The sequence below is a fragment of the Homo sapiens genome, chromosome 7 (genome assembly GCF_000001405.40).
Source record: "Homo sapiens chromosome 7, GRCh38.p14 Primary Assembly".
In the NCBI taxonomy this organism is placed as follows: domain Eukaryota; kingdom Metazoa; phylum Chordata; class Mammalia; order Primates; family Hominidae; genus Homo; species Homo sapiens.
In genome coordinates this window covers 107,763,149-107,787,232 of record NC_000007.14, presented here as the reverse complement: position 1 = coordinate 107,787,232, position 24,084 = coordinate 107,763,149, and the positions used below count along the sequence as shown (strand labels likewise).

The following is a 24,084-nucleotide window of genomic DNA, read 5'->3' as shown; positions in this document are numbered from 1 at the left end:
TGTTTAGCATGGTTTTATTTTCATTCAGAATTTAATAACTTCCTCTTATGATTTTGAGTTAATTTTTTCCACGTGAGACAAGGATAGTGCAGAGAGCAAGACCCTTGACAAAATGTCGTGTTAGAGCCATTTGAATTTAGCTGTGGTTCTCAATCCTGGCGGCATGTTAGAATTGCCTCCGAATTTCTTAAAAAGTAACAAAGCCTGGGCTGGAGTTCTTACTTAACAGGTACAGAAGTGGGTTTTGGCAATTTATTTTTCTTCAAAGCAAGACTCTTACTTGCATCTCACATTTCTAACTTGGGCCATTTGCAACTTTGCAGACCGTGATTGCAGCAGGTGTATCCTACGGCTGTGACTTTAAAAACAGGTTTAAAGTGGCTGTGGTTGGGGACATGAATCCTGGGTAAGTGTGTCTTCGATGATGGCATCACCATGCACTAAGCAGAGAGTTAGCAGTAGTGACAGGAGAGGTACAATCCGAACTGCAGTTCAGCCTGCAGGTAACCCTCATCAGAATCCTCCCTGCACCCTGCATCCCTAAGGAAGGCTCACTGCTTTCCTTCTAGGAAGGTGCTACAAAGAAAGGCAGGGTGTGCAGTTCTTTTTTTTTTTTTTTCGCCTCCCCACAGTGAATGCAGTTCTTAATATCAGAAGGCTTCTCCTTGTGGAAGAACTCACAAACAAGACAAGCAGGGACACAGACCAGTAGAAACTCACAGGAAAGTAAAAGTTAGCAAAGTAGTGAAAGTCTAAAAATAAGCAAAGTAAGGCCAGACCCGGTGGCTCATGCCTGAAATCCCAGCAATTTGAGAGGCCAAGGTGAGAGGATCACTTGAGCCCGGGAGTTCAAGACCAGTCTGGGCAACACAGCAAGACCCCCATCTCTTGTTTTTTTAAAAATATATAAATAATACCATAAAGAAAAATAGGCAAAGTAAACTGCTTCTCCTCTTAAAGAAACATCAAGTGAAACCAGATTTCCTTGTCCATAAATTACTATAAACAATATGTAATGCTTTGTTTGAAGTTACTGGAGCCAAGTTCTGAAAGTTCAAAGAAGACACTGAAGGAACACAGGCACTCCACGTGAGCAGTCCAGATAGGCACACTCTGTCCTTTCTCCCGATCAGATTCAAAACAAGGGCAGAGCAACTTTTCCCACTGCAAAAGGATGAGAAGTCCAGTTTGTACAAGAATTTTAAAATGTATTTCATTACATTCAGTGGATTGAGAAGGAAGATCATTTTGTGTTGTTTCTTCTAACCACAGAATCAGTTTCTTCCAACTTACCAAGGAAAAGGTGTTTTCCTGTTTTGTTTTGTTTTGTTTTGTTTTTTTAAAAGACTTCTCTCCCTCTCTATGCTTAAGAAATATTTGAGAATTCGAGAAATCAGCATTTATATGTATTTTTTTTACTTTAAAACAGCCAAATTCTTTTAAAGGCAAATATATGTACTTTTTATTTTTTTAAAGAAAAAACATTTTTTTTATTACCAGATCTTCGTGTGTTACATTTCACGAATCTCAAGCATCACTTTTAATTTTTAAAGTTTTAAAGTGGAAATTAGGCTGAAACTGAAAGACTGTTTCTAGGGTTTCCTTCTATTCTGCCACTTTGAAGTGATTTCACTTTACTTAAATGTCTTGGGAGACATAAACCAAATAGAAAAAATGAATACTTGCAAAACCAAACAGGATCTTGTCAGAAGGGCTTGGAAAATAAAAGATAAACTTAAGATCACTGAGTTACACCTTAAATACCTCAACAACAGTCTTATTTAGTGAATGTATTTTCAATGTCAGTGTACCTCTCTCCACAGTGTGTAGGGTGTGGCAACGGGTAACCATTACGTTCAATAGAGTGGCAGTGTAACCTAGTAGGTAAGCTCCAGTGTTCTAGAGGCAGAGTACCTGAGATTTGATTCTGACTCACTTTTTGAGCTTGAGCACATTACCAAAAACTCTGTGCCTCAATGTTCTTGGCTGTAAATATGAGGCTAAAAATAATAGCTATCAAGTAGGATTCTTTTAAGAGTTGAGTGAGTTAATACATGTAACATGCTTAAGTGCCTGACTTACAATAAATGTTCAAATTACACTACTATTGTTAACTAGTTTAACACCTAAATTAGGTAGCAAGCACTTGAGCTTTTTATGCTCCATTTTTTTTTCTGGGTGATGATTGAGTAGGTATTTTAAGTTTTTGTTGATTGCAAATAGACTATAACTGGAAGGTAGTGATTATTAATTATTGCTAACCTACTGTTCATGACTATGCCACCTTAGTAGTTATTTTGCAAAGTCTCATACACTAAATACAAATAATTTGGCTGAAGAAAAGTGCTCATTGAAACAGTAAAGGAAACACAAGGAGTATATTCAGATTCCAGAGGGATCCTATAATAATAGCTAACAGGCACTTTGTGTTTTACAGTGTGTAAATAGTATTTGCATTTATTATTTGACCCTCCCACTAAACTGTGAAGAAAAGAGAACAAGGACGGGCGCCATGGCTCACGTCTGTAATCTCAGCACGTTGGGAGGTCGAGGCGGGTGAATCACTTGTGGTCAGGAGTTCGAGACCATCCTGGCCAACATGGCAAAACCCTGTCTCTACTAAAAATACTAAAATTAGCTGGGCGTGGTGGCACACACCTGTAGTCCCAGCTACTTGGGAGGCTGAGGTGGGGAGATCTCTTGAGCCTGGACAGTGGAGGTTGCAGTGAGCTGTGCACTCCAGCCTGGGAAAGAGGAGACCCCATCTCAAAAAAACAGAGAACAAGTTTTATTATCCTCACTCTACAAATGAGGAAATTGTGACTTGGGAAGGGCAAGTGGCAGAGCCAGGAAATGAACCCAAGTCTTTAGACTGTAAATCTTCATCACATCATTCTGTCTATGGTGTTCAGAGACCAGAACAAAAGAATAATAAGATCCTGGTTATTAAAAAACAAAAACATTCCAAGCTAACTTTTGGATTTATAATGGCATCAGATATAATAGTACTTCTTCAAAATTATGGTATAATAGTACTTCTTCAAAATTAGAGATAAAAATGTATTACCATAGATATTCACAAAATGTGGAACAGCAATTCAGAAAGAGTTGATTGGACCTAATTAACCCACTTCCAATAAGTCTGATGTCAGAAATATATGCTTATAGGAGTGGAACATTTTAGTAAATTGATGTTGAGTTTAAGATACATGCACCTTTTATGATACAATTAGTAAATATAATTGAACTGGTCTACATTCATGAGGCTTAAGCACAGAAGTACGCCCTGTGAGTTGAAGGTTTCTCTGACATATATCACCTTAAAGAGAAATCCACTCTCCATTAGGGTCATGGTTGTCTCTAGCATTTCTGTGAAGTGCAGGGCAGAGTCCAAGGCCCATCTCTTTGCCAGGAGTTTTCCATGAAAGGTTATTATTATCAATGGAAAGAAGACTTTTTTGCTTTCCTTGTCTCACAATTGTGTTTGCTCAAAGGACTTCATGTATGGATAACTATTGGGAGCATTTTGAGTGATGCTTTGCAGCCCAGTGTAACAATACAAGTGGAATAGAAGACATTTTGCAGGAAGCTTATAAGAATACACACGCACATTATAGTGTGGTTTTACTGGCAAAATCATATCTGATTTACCACTATCCTTGGATTGAATTTGCAGTCTTTTACCAAATTCAGGCAGTGTTGCTTTTCAGCATTAAGAAAGCAGATTGCAAAATTGTTAGTGGAGCTAAATTCTCGTTAATCATACTCCAAAGTGAGACACAACTCAGCCTAGATTGCATTCATTCATTGATTTGCCCAATGGTTATATCAGTTTATAAATTGGTTGGTGACATTCAGACTTGCTTAATTTCAATTTTAGATTTCAGCCCCCTATTACACCTGACGTGGAGACTTTCCAAAACACCGTAGGAGATTGCTTCGGCATCGCAATGGTTGCATTTGCAGTGGCCTTTTCAGTTGCCAGCGTCTATTCCCTCAAATACGATTATCCACTTGATGGCAATCAGGTAAGTAAACAAACTACACTGGGTCTCACTGGGCAACTTTAAATAATATTTTGCACACATAATATCAATGGTGCCACTTCTGAAAAAGGTTCATTCTTGTCTTCCTGTCAGGAGTTAATAGCCTTGGGACTGGGTAACATAGTCTGTGGAGTATTCAGAGGATTTGCTGGGAGTACTGCCCTCTCCAGATCAGCAGTTCAGGAGAGCACAGGAGGCAAAACACAGGTATGTCAAGATCTTTGCTGCAAGCACTGTCCTAGCGTTAGTAACTAGGAAATTCAAGCCAGGGGAAAAGTTGAGTTGGTGATGATAATTTTTTTATCCTCACAGATTGCTGGGCTTATTGGTGCCATCATCGTGCTGATTGTCGTTCTAGCCATTGGATTTCTCCTGGCGCCTCTACAAAAGGTAACACTGTCTTTGGATAGCATCTCTACTTTTAGTGGTAAATCAAGGACCCCGGTTCTTAAATTCTGAAAGCACAAACTAAACTAGGGGAAATGAGGTAATGACAAACTCTCAAGTACTCTTCTTAGCCAATACTCTGTATGAGCCAAAAATATTTCTTTTTCCCTGGCAACATGTTCTGAATGTTAGGAACACAGGTGCCCAACCTGCCTTATCTCCTCTACACTTTGCATGTGCATAGCCCCAAATAGAATTAATGTTGAAATAGGAGGGCACCCTGGCACCACACTTTCAACACGCATGGACTGAGTAGAGGTTTTCTTAAAGGTTAAGGTAATCAGGCCCTCTATCTAATTCAGAGAATGGCCCTACCAGCCACACAACTCGTTCTTAGGAACACACCCTGAAGCTTCTAGAACTTTGGTTTAACTCCAAGACCAACACTGTTGGATTGTGGGATGGGAGTGAACAGCCAGCACAGACCTCCCAGCCCTACTCTCATGCTCCTCTGCCTATAAGCTTGAGGGTTTAGTTTAATACTTTGTAAACTGCTGCAGCACTCAGATATAAAACATACCATCAGACCCTGGAAAGCAAAGGCTCTCTAGGAAACAAGATGACAGTAAATACATTGTTCCTTGTGGTTTTAATATAATTTTGAGGTGGTACATGGAGCCCTGTTGACCTCCTTCTAATCCTGGCTCTGCTACTTATTATCTGTGTGATTTTGGGCAAATTACTTAACCTTGCTGAACCTCAAGCGCCACATTTGTAAAATAGAAAGGGAAATAATACCCACTACACAGAGTGACTATAAAAATAAATAAGATCATGTATGTGAACTACTTAGCTGAGGGTTTGGCATATGATAAATACTTGATAAATGATAGTCATTATTGTTAATAATATTATTATTCTACATTGTATTACACTCCTGGCTATAAAAGACATAGAGATATGATACAGCCCACAAATGTCTATTGGCTGTTACCTAGGCCTTTTTTCCTTGTTGGTTGGTAGCCGAACGGTGACTGTGGTCCCAGGTTGCTGGACTCCCAGTGTGGTCATCTCAAAAAGCTCAATGGCCAAATCCATCTTCAAGCAGGGCAGAGAACAATTTGCCAAAAATATGCATTCTCCATAGGCTATACTTCTGATTTCAAAATAAGTGGCATAAAAGGAATGAAAAAGTCACCACTAAAGAAATAGAAGAATGTTATCTCAATAAAAATAAACGCACACACACTCACCCCTACAGAGAGAACTCCACCCTCTCATGCTTCTCCCCGGGTGTAAACTTGAGTTCTACCTAGCCCACATCAATTTGGAGACACTAAAGAAATAATTACCAAATCTTGTCCAAGATTTAATCAAAGCCCCTTTTATAAAGGGTCCTGTGATATGTTCTTTTTAGGCCATTGTGGTCAGGAATGTCTTTGTTTCAAACACCCAAATAACTATTTGCTTCTTTTTATCATATGAAGGCAAAATAACCCATAATAAAAGCTCATAATAGGTATTTATTGAGTGCTCACTGCATGTCAGCAGAGCTCTAAGCGTTTTCTCTTCATTTAATCCTTTATATCAAATGCAGTATGGATACCAGATTACTGCGGAAATTATCCCCCTTTCCTTTCTATGATTTCTTAATGCTCTGTAATCTTTACTTTAAAAGTAATCTGTTGTATATGTATGTCATCGTAAATTACTTCAAATTGTTTTTCCGTAGAATACTGACTAGGTGGGAAATAATGCCCAATGGAAAAAAAAAGTCTCTTCGCACAGGTGTCTCTTGACATATTTTATACTTAGAGAATTAAAAGTCCTGCAAAATGGAGAGGCCCGTTGTACAGTCCTCTGACTTCTTTGCCTAGCTACCACAATGGTGACATCTTACACAGCTGTAGTACAATATCAGTACTATACATTAGTATAGTATGTTAAGTAGATTACAGACTTTATTCAATTTTCACCATTTTTTAACTGGCATTCACTTGTGTGCCAAATTTTTTAAAAGTCACTTAAGACCATATTTCTTCTAAACTGTGACCTCTATTCTCACAGTTAGTAAAATTAATTGCTTAGATATTATATTATAAGGATTACCTGTGAAAATTAGAAATAGGCAGATCAGTTCAACTGTCCTCAAGATATAAAAATAAAAACTGTATTTGGCTTTTCTTTGTACACTGTGTTTTCATGGTATAGCAGTATACAAATTCCATACTCCATTCAGAATAAAATAAATTGGCAGGGGGAACAGGACGGTGAGGGGCATGTTCCTACAATTACGATAAAATCCAAAGAATGAAGAGAATATACTTAGCTATTCAGCATTTTTCACCTTAACTATCACAATTCCTGCAAGATAAAAGATCACATTCTGGCTGTGGAAGAATTGGAAGTCTGAAGCTTGGCTGTAGGGATTAGTACTGGCCTGGGAAATATTCATTCATTGGCTCAGCCACTCATTCACTGACTAATTTTAAAGCCCCTCCTGTATGCATTTAACATAGTAGGTTCTGGGGATATAGCAGGAACTAGATAGATATGTTTCATGCTGTCCCAGAAAGCCCGCCTCAAGTCATCTCATTCCAGGACCTCAAGCTTCCCAAGCTATTTTTTTTTTTAACAAAGAGCAACCCCCATCTCCTTGACTCCAATAAACAAACACACATTAGACTGTCTCTGCTTGGGAGGAATTTATTCCAAATGTTAGTCTGTCATAGGTCTGAAGGTCTGCCTTTCTCTGTCCCAAGGTGCAGGCTACTAAACGCCATCAGATCATCTATCTCATAATCACAAGAGCAGCCTAGGCCTTGTCACTGTTGTGGGGACAAAGTCATTCATAGGAACAGGTCAGAGTCCCAGTTCTGGTGTGTCTTGCGTGGCATCGCACACCGGAAAAGGGTGTAATGCTTTGATTTGCTTTGAGGCCCTTTAAAGCACACACTTATCTATAGCCTTCACCTTTGCTTCCCTGTGGTTTATTTCATTAACTTAAAGTACATCTGATGTTTGTGTTTTTCACAGTCCGTCCTGGCAGCTTTAGCATTGGGAAACTTAAAGGGAATGCTGATGCAGTTTGCTGAAATAGGCAGATTGTGGCGAAAGGACAAATATGATTGTGTAAGTAGAGGCAATAGTATTTGAAAGAGAGATAAATCACAATAGCATTTTAATGCTAATGTGAAATGCATGTTTATATTGTAAACTAAGTGAAATTTTGTTTCTATATATCTGTTCAAAAAAACCTTAGTTTGTTTTATTTGCTATTTTTAAATTGCATATTCTAATGGTCATTTTCTGGGACTTTAATTTTTTTAAATGGCTACTTTTAATTTAAAAGAATGGGCTCCATGAAACACTAGTCTAGAACTTCCTTAGGCCTATTCTAAAAGTTCTTGCAGTAATCCCAAGTACCACAGAAACTCTCTGAATTTAGGGTACGCATGGCTTCTGTTCTTCATTACATAATGTTTTTGTTTCCACGAATCTGTGAAGAACTTAATTTCTGAACATTGCTTTTGGAAATACTCTCATTTGGAAAGGCTCCCCCTTGCTCTCACATGCTTTGCTATTTTAACAGGGTCAAAGTCTGTGGTGTAAAAATGCCTGTTAACATACCCTTAGGTATTTAAAGATCATAACTAGTAAACTACACTTGGTTTACTTTTGTGGGGCGTTTTAACACCCTTTTGGCATGCTAAAATTCTTATAAAGATAGCAACCATTAATTAAATCAACAGACCAAGAGTAAAACATTAGTATAAGCTCTACCAGTTAATTTGCTGATTTTTTTTTAAGAGATAGGATCTCCCTCTGTCACCCAGGCTGGAGTGCAATGGTGCCATCCTAGCTCACTATAACCTCAAACTCCTGGGCTCAGGCAATCCCTCTGCCCCAGCCTCCTGAGTAGCTATGACTACAGCTGCACACCACCATCCTCAGCTATTTTTTTTTATTTTTTGTAGAAGCAGATTCTCACTATGTTGCCCAGGCTAGTCTTGAACTCCTGGCCTCAAGTGATCCTCCCACCTCAGCCTCCCAAAGTGCTGACATTACAGGTGTGAGCCTTCACGCCCAGTCTAATTTGCTGATTTTAATGAACAGCAGCTGGTTCTATTAGGTTGGTGCAAAAGTAATTGCAGTTTTTGCAATTATAATTATCACTGTGACAGATAATTCCATTTCCTAAATGAGTTGGAGATGGGATTAGAAATAAATACACTTTCTTTGAATCCTCTTATATTTGTGTGTGTTTTTGTGGCCCAGAACCTGAGCCAGCAGAAATGACCTCTTGGGAAAAGTGTCTTCTGTGCACTTTGCTCCCTGGCCCAAGATGACAACTTTCAACTTCCACCACGTCTGGCAAATTTTTAAATTTTTTTTATAGGGACAAGGTCTCACTGTCGCTACAAAAAAAAAAAAAAAAAGTCTTTTTAAAAGACCCCGTCTCGACATTGTACTTTAATCAAAGTAAATTGTAGTGTATGTGTTGCTTTCTTTTCACAGTTAATTTGGATCATGACCTTCATCTTCACCATTGTCCTGGGACTCGGGTTAGGCCTGGCAGCTAGTGTGGCATTTCAACTGCTAACCATCGTGTTCAGGACCCAATTGTGAGTGCTCAAAGTGCTCTGCATCCTGGCAGGCTTGGACCTGCCCAAATCAGAAGAGGAAAAAAAATGTCACTGGCTAAAAGAACAGTAGTTGGTTGATAGGTGTGCATTTCTATCAGGATGGGGCAGTTTATCCTCCCTCCAGTTGCTCATCTCAAGGCCTGAAGGGCAATAGCACGGCCCAGCTTTAGAACATCAGCCCAGGGAGGAGACTTGCTGTTGGTCTGCTTCTGGCTTTGACTCCAGTTCAAATAAATCATATAAATCTCTGAGTCTATTCGCCCAGCTATAAACCAGAAGTAATTCTATTCCAAGCAGGTTTAATGTCTTTGCCTTGTACTTGTTAAACATGGAAATGTGTTACTGAGATTGTGAGATTGTTTCCATCTAGTGGATGGATTTCCTCTTTATAGGTTGTTAGATTGCCCTCGTACCTTTAAAATATGGAGCTGGATTAGAGAACTTCTCAAAGGCCCCTCTTACCTTAAAATTCCACAAAAGCCATTTGGAATTCTTGATTTTTAATAATCATTCAGTCCAAGCATCTTTTTAATTTTTATTTATTTATTTATTTATTGTCTTTTGAGACAGAGTTTCGCTCTTGTCGCCCAGGCCGGAGTGCAACGGTGTAATCTCGGCTCACTGCAACCTCTGCCTCCTGGGTTCAAGCGATTCTTCTACCTCAGCCTCCCAAGTAGCTGGGACTATAGGTGCCTGCCACTGGCTAATTTTTGTATTTTTACTAGAGACAGGGTTTCACCGTGTTGGCCAGGCTGGTTCGTGAATTCCTGACTTTGGGTGATCCGCCCGACTTAGCCTGCCAAAGTGCTGGGATTACAGTCATGAGCCATGGCGACCAGCCTTGATTTTTTAAAATCTCTGCCATGTAACATCACTACCATGTGGTTGCTCAGCCTATTTTGAATTACATGGTGTGACAGAAAAAGATGCTTCCTGGGGAACTAAGGAGTTCTACAACAGAAATTGTTATCACAAAGTCAATCCCTGACTGATGGAATACATCCATATTGAAATACTCCCGAACTCTTTCATTTATTTATATTTCATTCCATTTTTTACTGGGAACCCATCAAACATAGAGACAAACTGAATGGTCATAAGCAAGTCATTTTACTTTTCCATGTTCTCATCCATACAACTGGGTAATCATATCCACCTTACCTCATGGAATAACTGTGATATTCACAATCAAAATGGCAAAAGCATATGGAGTGCTTTGTAAACTGTAACATGACAAATGGGAGGCACTTTTCAGGTGCTGTGAGAGGACACAAAGATAAGTAAAACAAGGTGTTCACCTTCCAGAGTCTCTGATGGCATGATGATTCCCCAACCTTTTACATTTTGAAAAGTGAGCCTGCTTTGGTATGCTGGAAAAAGTCAGTGTTAGCCTTATAGGCTTAACAAACATACATGAATGATTTACTTGGTGTTTTTCTCCCTACAGTCCAAAATGCAGCACGCTGGCTAATATTGGAAGAACCAACATCTATAAGAATAAAAAAGATTATTATGATGTAAGGGAGATTCATGTTTTTCTTTGACTTGCTAAATGATATTAACTATGGATCTAATGGGCAACACCTAACAATGCTTCTCTGCCTTACAGATGTATGAGCCAGAAGGAGTGAAAATTTTCAGATGTCCATCTCCTATCTACTTTGCAAACATTGGTTTCTTTAGGCGGAAACTTATCGATGCTGTAAGGTTTGGGGTTATTTAATTTTTTTCCTTGTAATCTTACTGAATTCTGGGAATGTCATTGTTCTGTAAGGTCATTGTTGAGACTGGGTTGTGTCACATATGTTGAGGTGGGGTTGTGTCAGTATTTTTTGTCCCACGTCCCAGAACAGATGAAACTACCTTATGGGGAGTTTGTTAATAGGTTGGGAAATAAGCCTCTTCAGATGACATCTAATATAGAAGAATCCTTTTCTCAAATTCTGATGTAGAGTAAAAGAAATTTACCAAGTTTTGGGCTGCTAGCTTTTAGTAGATGTCATCCTACAGATTTTCTTTGGGCATCAACTTCAGAAACAATGAAGGAGCATTTAATATTTGACCACATCCTCAAAGAGATTCAGTATAACAGTTGTAAATGAATAGTTAATACTGAATAACAATACATACTGAGTGTCCCTGGCAAACTGGAGAGATGATGACAAGGAAGCAGTCTTGACAGTTAAGAAAAAAAGCTCAGTCCTCCCTCTTGAAACATGCCTTTGGTCTACTCTGTACCTTGCATACAGCCTCTGCCTTAAACCTTAACTATTATTATTAGTTTGATATGCATCCGACATTTTTCTACCGAGTTTTTTGTTGTTGTTTGCAAAATGAGATTATATTGTATATTTGGTTTTCTGTACTGCCCTTTTCGATTACTCTAGTAAACTTCCATCTAACTATATTTTTTGTCAAGGATTTTTTTTTTTGAGACAAGGTCTCGCTTTGTCACCCAGGCTGGCATGATCACAGCTCACTGCAACCTCAAACTCCTGGGTTTGAGCAATCCCCCTACCTCAGCCCCCCAAGTAGATGAGACTCCAGGCATGTGCCACTACACCCCGCTAAGTGCTAAGTTTTAAATCTTTTGTAGAGACGAGGGCTTGCTTTGTTGCCCAGGCTGGCCTTGAACTCGTGGCCTCACGCAATCCTCCCACCTCGGCCTCCCAAAGTGCTAGGATTAGAGGCTTCAGCCACCACGCCTGGCCAAGGATTTTTTATTACATAATTTGATCCTCCTCTCTTACTTATCTGTAACTAAATATTACAGCAATAAGAATTCATTAGTGTTGAAAAAAACAAAGATTAGCCTCAAATATAATACTAAAATTATAAAATAAAATTGTACAATAATAAATAACATACCATTATAAATTTTAATAAGATAAAAATTACATACAAGCAGAATACTTATGTAGGTGCAACTCGTACTCAATAAATAGAAAATAAGTAAAATAAAATTCCCTAAGAGTTGTGTAGGTTCCAAACACAAACAGATTCAAATAGAGTTTATGTCCATTCATGGATAATTTATGGATGAATCCTGGACTGTGTTATACAAAAGCTTTTGACTGTTGATAACTGCATACAGGTGGAGCAGACCATGGGTCTGACCCAATGTTCTGGCTGATATTGTTTAAACCACTTTTAAATTTTGTCACAAATATTTTTATTATCTGTCCCAATCCCTCAAATCACTCCAGTTAAAGTTGTTAGAACTATGCTATATAAATAACAGAATATTCAGTACTCTTGTAACACAGCAATGGGTTTCTCAGGTTGGCTTTAGTCCACTTCGAATTCTACGCAAGCGCAACAAAGCTTTGAGGAAAATCCGAAAACTGCAGAAGCAAGGCTTGCTACAAGTGACACCAGTAAGTTCCTTGACCACATTTCTATGCATTATAGCTAAAAGCTTAGTAAAGGATGATTCAAGGTGTAGTTCCATTCCTTTAAATGAAATGCCAGATAAACAAGGGATTTCATGTGTCAATGAGTGTTATATTTTAAAATGACATCCTTCTGAGGGTCTCCCTAAAATTTTTATTCTCCTGGGAAAAGTACCAAACACAATTGTCCACAATCTTGTTGTTGTTTGAGACAGTGTCTTGCTCTGTGGCCTAGGCTGGAGCGCAGTGGTGCGATCACAGCTCATTGCAGCCTTGACCTCCCAGACTCAAGCGACCCTCCCACCTCAGCCTCCCAAGTAGCTGAAACTACAAGCACATGTGCCACCATGCCTGGCTAACTTTTTTATTTTTTGCAGAGATGGAGTCTTACCATGTTGCCCTGGCTGGTCTCAAACTCCTGGGCTCAAGTGATCCTCCCACCTCAGTTTCCTAAAGTGCTGGGATGACAGGCATGAGCCACCACACCTAGTCCAATCCCATCGTTTGGCTCAACTCAGAATCAGTGCTTCTGAAACTCACTGGCTATCTCTGACATACACAATGTTTTTCTTGGTCACAGTTTTCATACTTGTTATCCTCTCCTGCAGAAAGGATTTATATGTACTGTTGACACCATAAAAGATTCTGACGAAGAGCTGGACAACAATCAGATAGAAGTACTGGACCAGCCAATCAATACCACAGACCTGCCTTTCCACATTGACTGGAATGATGATCTTCCTCTCAACATTGAGGTCCCCAAAATCAGCCTCCACAGCCTCATTCTTGACTTTTCAGCAGTGTCCTTTCTTGATGTTTCTTCAGTGAGGGGCCTTAAATCGGTAATTTCTTTGTTCTTAATGGAAACAACCAATCAATGACTAAAGGTTAAAAAAAAAATTGTATTTGTGGGCTGGGCACAGTGGCTCATGCCTGTAATCCCAGCACTTTGGGAGGCCGAGGTGGGTGGATCACCTGAGGTCAGGACTTCGAGACCAGCCTGGCCAACATGGCGAAGCCCCGTCTCTACTAAAAATACAAAAATCAGCTGGGTGTGGTGGCGTGCACCTGTAATCCCAGCTACTCGGGAGGCTGAGGCAGGAGAATAGCTTGAACCTGGGAGGTGGCAATTGCAGTGAGCCGAAATTGCACCACTGCACTCCAGCAATACAGTGAGACTCTGTCTCAAAAACAGCAACAAAAAAAACTGTATTTGTGGAAGGATGCTCCTTTAGGTAACATGCATTTAATTAGAAGCAAATGATAATCTTAGAGTATTCCATGGAGGGAAAGGTGGTGTTCAGTGGACTCTTGAAAGGGCATTTTTCCATGAGACTGGGTACTATATTGAAGGGAATCAAATCTACAGTTCTAACGTATGCTGAATCTGCTGGTGGACAACTATGCTCACATTCCTTTCAAATTTCAATTCTGTGGTGTTCTCAAATCTTTGTGGGCATTGTGTCTAAATTATTCTGAAATCAGAGAAGATCTGGAAAGGTCCTGGGAAAAAATGTAAGAGTGGATCCTTTTGTTTTATCCTCATCCATTATAAGCTGATGAAATTTCACTTGGCTAAAACCCAAATAGATATATGAAAGAATAAATGTCACATGTGATTTCAAAACACGACTGAAACAATCAGATTGCAGTGTGTTTTCTTTCCACAGATTAATCATATTTCTAAAATAAATTAGTTTCTAACAGAAATGCAGAAACATATAAAAAGAAAATTTAAGAAATTCTACATCTTTCTCTCTTTTTCTTGGGTTTTCACAAAAAATCTGCCCAAGTGAGAGCTGACCTAAGATAAGACCTATTCAGCATGGGTGAACTGGATACAAAATTAGAAAATGGAAGAATTTTTTTTAAATGTTAACATCATGTAACTCTCAAGTCTACTTGCGTTTTCTTTTCTTTTTTGGTTTTGGTTTTTGTTTATTTTAGCTTTTGATTACTTTAGCTTTTGTTTCTGCATTTTCACTCACACACACACACACATTTATTTTTTGGTTCTAGCAGTATAACACAAAGGACAGGGGCTCTAATTCTTAGTTAAGTGCCTAGAAGAGGTTCTGAAAGTGTTTACTGATGATGGCAATGACATTAATGATCATCTAACCTGATCAAACAATATAAGCTACTTTTCTTACTTTACATGATCTTACTCATATCACTACTGGTATTTGTTCTTAGCCTAGAGACCAGAAAAATGTATAAACATTCATTGGTGCTAGATACATCCATTCATTGTGGACAAAAATAATTAGCAACTCATGGTCCATAGGTTCTTTTTTAAAACTTTTATGTAGCAAGAAAGCTCTAGTTGAGATCATCCCAAAGAAGACACTATTTTAAAATTAAATCAGAGTTGTTCTTATGAGTTTGAGACAGAACATTTTCCCATAATACTTCCTTCAAGAATGATCATTTTTAACTTCTTACTGAGGAGAAGGGTTCTTTTGTTTGGGTTTATTTCTGTCACAGAGCCTTGTTTTTAACTTTAGTATCTTCTGACACTATTATCTCTTTTCAAAATGTTAAAGCTTCTAAAAGGAATATATCACCCGTAAGGTATAATTCTGATTGTTTTCTTTATATTTCTGACAAGTGAAACTGTTCCCTAAGGAAGATATACTTTTCTTTTTAACAGATTTTGCAAGAATTTATCAGGATCAAGGTAGATGTGTATATCGTTGGAACTGATGGTAAGTGGCTTTATTTTTGTTTTATGTTCTGACAATCACTTCAGGCTCACTGCCAACTCTCAGTCTAGACAGCCTCTCCAAAGAATGAGTATTTTATATAATCATGATGAAAATCTAATATGCAGCCAGCCCAATAAAAATCCCTATGGAAACAGCATCTTTGTATTTTAGTTATGTTGATATGTAATTAAATACATTCTACAATTTGAATCCTGATTTCATAGGCAACAAAGGAGGAACATGTTAACTATTTTTCACTCTAAACTTCCTGAAAAGGTAGCCTTGTTTTCTGTCTCTCTTCCTCCCTTCCCTTGCACAATCCAGCCCATAACAATTTGGTTGAGCTTCACCTGCTGATGAGACCATCCTTGCCAAGGTTATCAGCGATGTCCAGATTGTTAGGATTAACGGCCTTCATCTCAGGTCCTTCTGCAGCAGCTTACCTGAGCATCTGGCACTCTCTCTAGCATTTGTCTTTGAAACTCTCTCCCTCCCTGACTCTGGCAGGACAGTTCTTATTCACCTCCTACCTCTCAAACATCTCCTCAGGGTCTGACATTGGTTCTTCTCCCACTTTCAGTCTCCCCCAAGCTTCAACCGTACACTCTATACCATAGTTCTAATTCCACAGACTCTTTCTAGTCAATTTCCTACATGTTTATGATTTCATGTGCATCTACTTGTTAATGAATCCCCAAACTATACCTCCAGCCCAGGCCTTTCTTCTAAGCTGCAGACCAATGGACTCGACTGTGGATGTCCCCAGGCACCTCAGATACACGCTTTTAGAACTACGTATATGATTCCCCCTCCCAAAAATACTTCTTTCCTATCACAATCACTGCATCACTGCTTACCTAGTTTTCCAGATAGAAACCCTGAAACCATCACCAATTTCTGCTCTCCTTCCCTCTAGTCAATGACCAGGTCCTATAAATATTTCCTCTTAAATCAGTCTCTTCCTCTCCATTTCCAGAACTTTAATCTAGACCCTTCTCACTTCTCAACTAGGCCTTCTAGAAGGACTTTCTAACTAATATCCTTGCCCATCCCTATAATGCTCTCCCATCCCATTTTCTGAAAGAAGCCTTCTTCAGGAATTTTTCCGACAATAACTGAAAACATCCTTGCTTCCCCAGGCAGAGCACCGGGTCTTCAGACTGTTTGTATCTACAGAGTACGCACGTATCACATAATTTTGCAGTTCAGTTTCTGTCCCTACTAGACTATATCTCTTCCAGGGCAGGTATTGTTCCTGCTTACCTTCTTCCTGTCTCTTCCCTAGATCCTAGGACATGATGGGCATTCAGTAAAGACTTATTGAATACCTACTATTTATCAGGCACAGTTCTGGGTGCTGGGAATATAGCAGTGAATCTGACAAGCCTCTGTCCTCATGAAGCTTATAGTCTCATAGAAAAGCCACATAATAAACAAACAAAAGCATATTTCAGGTAGTGATAAGTGCTAAGAGAAAAGCAGAGTTAAGAAACAGAGGCTGGGAGCGGTGGCTCATGCCTGTAATCTTAGCACTCCAGAAAGCTGAGGCAGGCAGATCACTTAAGCCCCAGCGTTTGAGACTAGCCTGGGCAACATGGTGAAACCTCGTCTCTAAAAAAAAAAAAAAATGTTAGCTGGGTGTGGTGGCATGTGCCTGTAGTCCCAGCTACTCAGGAGGTTGAGATGGAAGGATCGCTTGAGCCTGGGAGGTCAAGGCTGCGGTAAGCTGTGATCGTGCCACTGCACACTAGCCTGGGTGACAGAGCAAGACCCTGTCTCAAATCAAAAAAAAAAAAAAAAAAAAAAAAAAAAAAAAAAAAAAAAAAAAAAAAAAAAAAAAAAAAAAAAAAAAAAAAACCCCTTTTTTTTTTTAAAAAAAAAAAAAAAAAAAAAAAAAAAAGAAAGAAAAGAAAGAGAGAAAGAAAGAAAGAGAAAGAAGAAAGAAGAAAGACGAAATAAGAAAGAAAGAAAGAAAAAAGAGAGAAAGAAAAAGAAAGAAAAGAGAAAGAAAGAAAGAAAGAAAGAAAGAAAGAAAGAAAGAAAGAAAGAAAGAGAAAAAAGGAAGGAAGGAAGGGAGGGAGGGAGGCAGAAAGAAAAACTGGTGATCAGGGATGTCCAGCAATATGACATTTTGAGTACAGACTAGAACGAAGTGAGGCAGTCAACCTTGACAGTACTTAGGGGGAGCTTTTTAGGGAGAGGAGACAAGTGGTACACATATCCTTCGAAAAGTATAAAATTGGCATCCTTAATCTCTCCCTTTCTACTGGATCCTGTCCCTAAAATATACAGACATATTCTAGTTTCAAGACTTTTAAAAAAAACTTTTAAGTTCAGGGGTACACATGCAGGTTTGTTACATAGGTAAACTCGTGTCATGGGGGTTTATTGTATAGATTATTTTGTCACCCAGATATTAAGCCTAGCACCCATTAGTTACTTTTCCTGATCCTTTCCTTCCTCCCACCCTTCACCCTCCGATAGGCCCCAGTGTGGGTTGTTCCCCTCCATGTGTCCATACGTTCTCATCATTTAGCTCCCACTTATAAGTGAGAATATGCAGTATTTGGTTTTCTGTTCCTGCATTACTTTGCTAAGGATAATGGCCTCCAACTCCATGTACCTGCAAAGGATATTGTTTTTTTTTAATTTTTTTATATGTTTTTATATAGTATTCCACGGTGTATATGTACCACATTTTCTTTATCCAGTCTATCACTGATGGGCATTTGAGTCCATGTCTTTGCTATTGTGAATAGTGCAGCAATCAATGTATGCATGCATGCGTCTTTATAAAAGAATGATTTATATTCCTTTGGGTATATATCCAGTAATGGAATTGCTGGGTCAAATGGTATTTTTGTCTTCAGCCCTGTGAGGAATCGCCACACTGTGCTTATACACTGTTGGTGGGAGTGAAAATTAGTTCAACCATTGTCAAGGCTTCCTTATAATTAAAAACATCCCCTTGATCCCAGAAACCTTTAATTTACTAACAATTTTACCCTTTCCTCATCATCCCAGATATTTTGGAAAGTATCTGTTCCTGCTGTCTCTGCTGCCTGGCATTCTTTTCAGTCTTTATCAAAGATTATCACCTTCCTTCCCATTGCATGCCACCCACTCCATCCCAGATCCTGGTGGCCACAATGCCCTCCACGCTCCCTCTCCCTCTGTCACTGAAAGCTTTCTGTAAACAGAAGAATCCATCTTCATAACTGTGTACCTTCTCTTCCTCCACTTTTCTGCAAATCCTAGGCACGTTTAGACGGTATCTGCTCAAGTTTTCCCAGATACCCACCAAGAGGAAAATTTCTCAGAATTTTCATAGTACATGATCTATATCTCTCTCATATATTCAACAAAAAATATGAAGACATACTATGTGCTGGGAATTTTTTTAAAACTAAGAAAACAATAAAGGAAAAAAACTAGATTGCTCCTTTCCCTCATTATTATACCACACGTTTTCTGTCAGTACTACAGGAATATATAAATGTTCTATCTTCCTTGAGGGCAAGATTCAGGTCTAATTTATCTTTTGATCTTTCTTATTACTCAGCCAGAGTTTTGCACATGGCAGACATAAGGTAATAGTTGGTTGAGTCATCTATGTAAATGAATGCTGCTTAGTGCCTACAAAAATGGGATTTCTCAAAGATGATTAGAGAGGTAAGTGGTAAGGAAGATGTTTTCCCATAAAACCCAGCAGCTTTGGGAAAATGGGCTACAATAAAGAACCACAGCATATCACTGGTCCATAAACATATGTTCCATTTTGGCAGAATCCCAAACTTTAATAAGAAGCCACACTTGATACTCTAATCATTAAGCAGGGAGATCAATTCACTAGGCTCCTGCCTAAATGAATTTTCTTCTAGGAACTACTGTTTTTCATTTGCTCCTTTGCCTTCCTCCTTTTTACATTAGGGCATTAAATTTTTTTTATTAGAAAGGTATTTGTTAGTTCCAAAAGACATTGTACTAAAGATAGACTGGTATTATACCACTGCAACCCACACACACTTAACCAAATGTCAATGAAACGCACATTTGCAAATGGAAGGTGAAATTACTAGCCTCAAGGGGAAACCGGTAGCCAAACAATTGTTTCTTCCTAAAAGTTACTGTTTTTTTCTCTTCAGATGACTTCATTGAGAAGCTTAACCGGTATGAATTTTTTGATGGTGAAGTGAAAAGCTCAATATTTTTCTTAACAATCCATGATGCTGTTTTGCATATTTTGATGAAGAAAGATTACAGTACTTCAAAGTTTAATCCCAGTCAGGTATCAGCTCTTTGGTGACTTTCACAATTGCATAAGCAGCCATCTGCACTCCTTAAATTTCTCTTTTTCAACATTAAAAAAAATCAGCCCCTAATCCATATTTCCATTCTCTTTTTCTCAGGAAAAAGATGGAAAAATTGATTTTACCATAAATACAAATGGAGGATTACGTAATCGGGTATATGAGGTAAGATTCTTCAACAGGTTTATCTTCACCTAGACATCACAGCAAAAAAAAACCTTCAAAGTAGTGAGGCCACTTCCTGCATGTGGCAGAAAGTCCAGCACTTGCTTGAGCCTCTGTGCCTCATCCCTAGAAAACTGAAGCAATGCTAACCAATCTCACAGGGAGTTTTCAGGAAAAGAAACTCAGACCCGTACAAAAACAGGATGAAAAAATAGTGATAATAGATCTCCATTAATGCAATATTGAGCATATCTTCTTTTGTTTTTCAAACCACTTACAACAATGCTCTTATTCTGGCCCTGTAATAATCCACGTAGCAGGGAAGGTATTGCTCTTTCCATTTACAGGTGAATTAGCAATGAAAATGATAAGCTAATACACACCTCCCAATAGCCAGATGCTTGAGAAGTCCCTAGCACAGTGCCCAGTCAAGCAATGAAACAAGTTTCTATCCTTCCTTACTAGAGTGAGTTGCCAATTCAGCATTTAACTGGAGAGTCCCATTTCATTGTAGATGTTCATTTCTAGAACATTCAGTCCTTTAAAGCAATGTTTCTAGTTTGGGAAAAGTAGAATCACAAATTAAAATGGGTTTCTGCTGTAGGCCAGGTAGATGGCAGGTGTATTACATTCATTATCTCAATCCTTATAACAATATACAAAGAAGATATCTTCATTTTCCAAATGAAAAAAAAAAAAGGAAACAGGCTCAGAGAGCTTAACTAATCTGCTTGAGGTCACATACCAAGTGACCCCAACAGGACTGCACTAAGATCTTTCTGATGACAAGACCTGTCTTCTGTTCTAGTACACCATCTCTATCCTCTAGTGAAAGACAACGGATTGAGGGACCAGAGAAAGAATTTAATGATTGTCTTCAAGCATGGCAGGCAGCTGGTGGTATTTCTCTTAGTTGAAAGGTCTCAAAAAAGGAATTTCTAGTCAAAATGAAAAAGAAATGTAGAGCATAAGATAAATCTGGAACATTATTAAGAGTGGTATCAAGTAGCAAAGGTCAGATGAAAAGGCCATTCTAGAAAATTGGATAGACCTGAGGTAAGAGGCGAATGTACATAAGCACCATGATTCTGTCTCCCAGGACTAGATTCCAGAGAAACCCAATAAAACTGGCACCTTGCCTGAGTACCTTATAAGAAAAGTCTCACACCAGAAACCCTCTCCTCAGTAATTGTATTCAGAATTGTCACCAAGTATTGGAGGATAAAGGGTAGGAATAGCATTTACCTCATGTCTGACCCAAACACTAGAACCAATTGTCTAACAAATCTAGCTAGCACAGTGGTGGAACTTGGCTTCCCCATATTAAAAAAAAGAAACATTTAACACCAGCTCTTTGGTCTCAAGGAAGGTAAATCACCAGCTGTGGATAGGCCACCAGTGGTGACTGGGGTAACAGCTGAATATACCAGGCCAACACACATAGTCCTTTGGAATAAATGTGAAGAAAGATATTGCTACAACACACTGTACCATTACTTTAAGTTAAGTTAGGCCTTTGAATTACAATGTGGTATCACATAGATCTATGTTAAACAAGCAGTGATGGAAGGTACTTGATCATTAAAATTCAAGACAAAAAAAAAACCTGTTAACTCTGGTAAATTCTAGCTCCTAAGATGTGATTATTGTAACAGAACTTGACGAGTATTTTAAAACAAGAACTTTCTGTCTTCTTCCAGGTGCCAGTTGAAACAAAATTCTAATCAACATATAATTCAGAAGGATCTTCATCTGACTATGACATAAAAACAACTTTATACCCAGAAAGTTATTGATAAGTTCATACATTGTACGAAGAGTATTTTTGACAGAATATGTTTCAAACTTTGGAACAAGATGGTTCTAGCATGGCATATTTTTCACATATCTAGTATGAAATTATATAAGTATTCTAAATTTTATATCTTGTAGCTTTATCAAAGGGTGAAAATTATTTTGTTCATACATATTTTTGTAGCACTGACAGATTTCCATCCTAGTCACTACCTTCATGCATAGGTTTAGCAGTATAGTGGCGCCACTGTTTTGAATCTCATAATTTATACAGGTCATATTAATATATTTCCATTAAAAAATCAGTTGTACAGTGGATGTGTCTTGTTTTGTTAAATTTGTTAGCTTTCTGAAACATGCTTGCTGTGGGTCCTGTTATATAGTGGTCTGGCTGGAAACCTGCTACATGAGAATCTTCTAACAGAACCCCTGTAATCAGGCTTCTTTGCTCAGATTTTATGATTACCAGTTTTTTAAAGCATCCAACCTCCTATCCAGATTTTAAACACAATCCTTCTAATGTAATATCTGTACCTATATAGATTTAGTATGAAAACTATACAAGCTAAAAAATGAGAAAGCAAGGAAGGTGAAAAGAAAAGATGGGTAGCCAATTCTTCCGGGTCTCAGTGGGAAGAAGAAAAACAGATGGCAGGAAGTAGTATGACTCTCTTCTTTTTTCACTGCTGGTTATTATTTGTAACTCACAGGGCAGAATAACAGCTCTAGAGCTCAATTTATCTGGAGGAGATTCAGCACACCTGCTTCTCTTTTTCCACTGGCATGGCTCTTGGTGCAAATTTGTATTTATGTAATAGTTAGAAATTAAACATCAGCACCAACAGAAAAATATTCAACGCCCTTTATTAAACATCAAACAACTTTGTCAATGGGAAAAGCTGCCCCAACTGTTTTAGATCTTACCTCTCAACATTGTTGTCAAAGTACCTTTCCACTCTCTGGTAGTGTCTTTGAGAGGGTTTGTCTATTGGACTTAAAACTACATACACAAAGGTAAGATAAAGGTTATTTACACAGCCAATCTTAAAAGTAGAATATCAGCACTCTTTAATCTTCCCATTTTTTTGTAGAGACACGATCTATGTTGCCCATGCTGTCTCAAACTCCTGACCTCAAGCAATCCTCCTGCCTCGGACTCCCAAAGTGCTGGGATTACAGGTGTGAGCCATTGTGCCCGGCCACAGCACTCTTTATAGTAGTGTTTAACTTTCTGAGTCATGGACTCCTTATAGAGTCTCATACACCCTATGGACTTTGGGGGAAAAAATACACACACACACACACACACACACACACACACACACACACACACACACAATTTACATATAAAATGCCTCACAAATCTTGGGTTAAGAACTTCTCCTCTAAAAAGAGTAGGAAGTCGAAATTGAAAACAGGAGCCTATTTACTCAATCATTTGGCTTGAAGTTGAGGCAAATGCCTTATATATAGGATTGTCGCTGAGGTCTCCATCTTCCCAAGCAAAGGTGCCCTCTGCACTCTTCTTGCCAACCAAACCAAACCAAACCAAACAAAAACAAAAAACTCAAGAAACAAGCACAAGCACTCCAATTCTTGTGCCCACATCACAGTACATTCAACCTTAACACCTTAGAGGTTTACTTATCCTTATCCTTAAATGTTTTCTTTCTTGTAGGCCACTAAGGTTGGGTATGCTTCTAGTAATGGGAATACATGGGGCTGAGCCTCTACTTGCCTGCCTCAGAGCACATATTGGAAATTTCCTAGTACCAAAATCTGATCCCTAATTTAGGAAGAAGTCAAGAGACCATGTTGGAAGATAAAAATAAACGTATATAAACCAGAACAAGATTGGAGGGGAGAGGAGGCAACTGGGAGACAGAACAACTTGTGAAGAGACAAATACATTACAGAAATTCATAAAGTGTGAAAGTAATACATGTTGAGCAGTGTATCTTTAAAATTATTTTGTAAGTTATTTAAGCACTTGATACATATTTTTGTCTAAACACAGGAACTTACCACTTAGAAATGTAAATGAAATTTTTTAAATGGCTGACCCTACACTGCATGAACAAGAATATAAAAGAGGGATATTTAATTCATGTTTCTAGCATCTTCCTCTGGATTTCAACATGTCAAGGCTGATCTGCTGATCTTCCCCTAATCTGCTCTACCAGCATTTTTTCTACCTCAGTTAATGACAACTCCATTTTTCTTAAGCTGATCAAGCCAAAAAATCCACCAGGAAATCCTACTGACTCTCTTTTTAAAATATAGTCATTTAACTGTCAAAAGAGTCCCCAATAATGTCAGTACTAAGATTTCCCCTATTTTTTAAAAAAACAAAGTAAATGAAGACTCAAAGAGCAAGTAACTAGTCTAAATTAGATAGTCACAGGTGGTAAAGCCAGAAATCTGTCTGGACAGTCTAACTCTATACAACCCAGGCTTTTAAATATTAGAAAACATCACTTCTCAAAAGAAATTAAAACCTAAATAAAAACTGATTACAAGATAGGACTAAACTCAGGAATAATTATAAGTGCATTCCACAGATTTGTTCCAAACTCACTAATTTAGCATTGTACAATTATATCCAGAAAAGCTGCTAGGAAATAGTAATGTTCAGA

General features: G+C 38.4%; 1 protein-coding gene across 1 annotated transcript in view, besides 2 other annotated features; it reads left to right on the top strand.

The window, feature by feature from the left end:
- The window catches only part of SLC26A3 (solute carrier family 26 member 3), a 37,755-nt gene extending 15,991 nt beyond the window's left edge, over positions 1–21,764 (top strand). The window contains exons 8-21 of the mRNA NM_000111.3: positions 324–406; positions 3,881–4,028; positions 4,140–4,253; positions 4,359–4,436; positions 7,470–7,565; positions 8,952–9,058; positions 10,527–10,596; positions 10,689–10,781; positions 12,361–12,456; positions 13,080–13,313; positions 15,125–15,179; positions 19,325–19,467; positions 19,589–19,654; positions 21,355–21,764. Of these exons, the coding sequence (NP_000102.1) occupies positions 324–406; positions 3,881–4,028; positions 4,140–4,253; positions 4,359–4,436; positions 7,470–7,565; positions 8,952–9,058; positions 10,527–10,596; positions 10,689–10,781; positions 12,361–12,456; positions 13,080–13,313; positions 15,125–15,179; positions 19,325–19,467; positions 19,589–19,654; positions 21,355–21,378 (1,407 nt within the window). The 3' untranslated portion in view covers positions 21,379–21,764. The remainder of the gene's footprint in view (positions 1–323; positions 407–3,880; positions 4,029–4,139; positions 4,254–4,358; positions 4,437–7,469; positions 7,566–8,951; positions 9,059–10,526; positions 10,597–10,688; positions 10,782–12,360; positions 12,457–13,079; positions 13,314–15,124; positions 15,180–19,324; positions 19,468–19,588; positions 19,655–21,354) is intronic.
- Positions 7,287–7,431: an enhancer, noted in NCBI's record as "145 bp enhancer 278 fragment used in the MPRA reporter construct; PK_construct_3004". NCBI's record gives its function as "activates an SV40 promoter by MPRA in HepG2 cells {active_cell/tissue: HepG2}" and the evidence as "EXISTENCE:reporter gene assay evidence [ECO:0000049][PMID:23512712]".
- Positions 7,347–7,370: a transcriptional cis regulatory region, noted in NCBI's record as "GFI1 motif; enhancer activity is reduced when this motif is scrambled". NCBI's record gives its function as "necessary for full MPRA enhancer 278 activity {active_cell/tissue: HepG2}" and the evidence as "EXISTENCE:site-directed mutagenesis evidence [ECO:0005528][PMID:23512712]".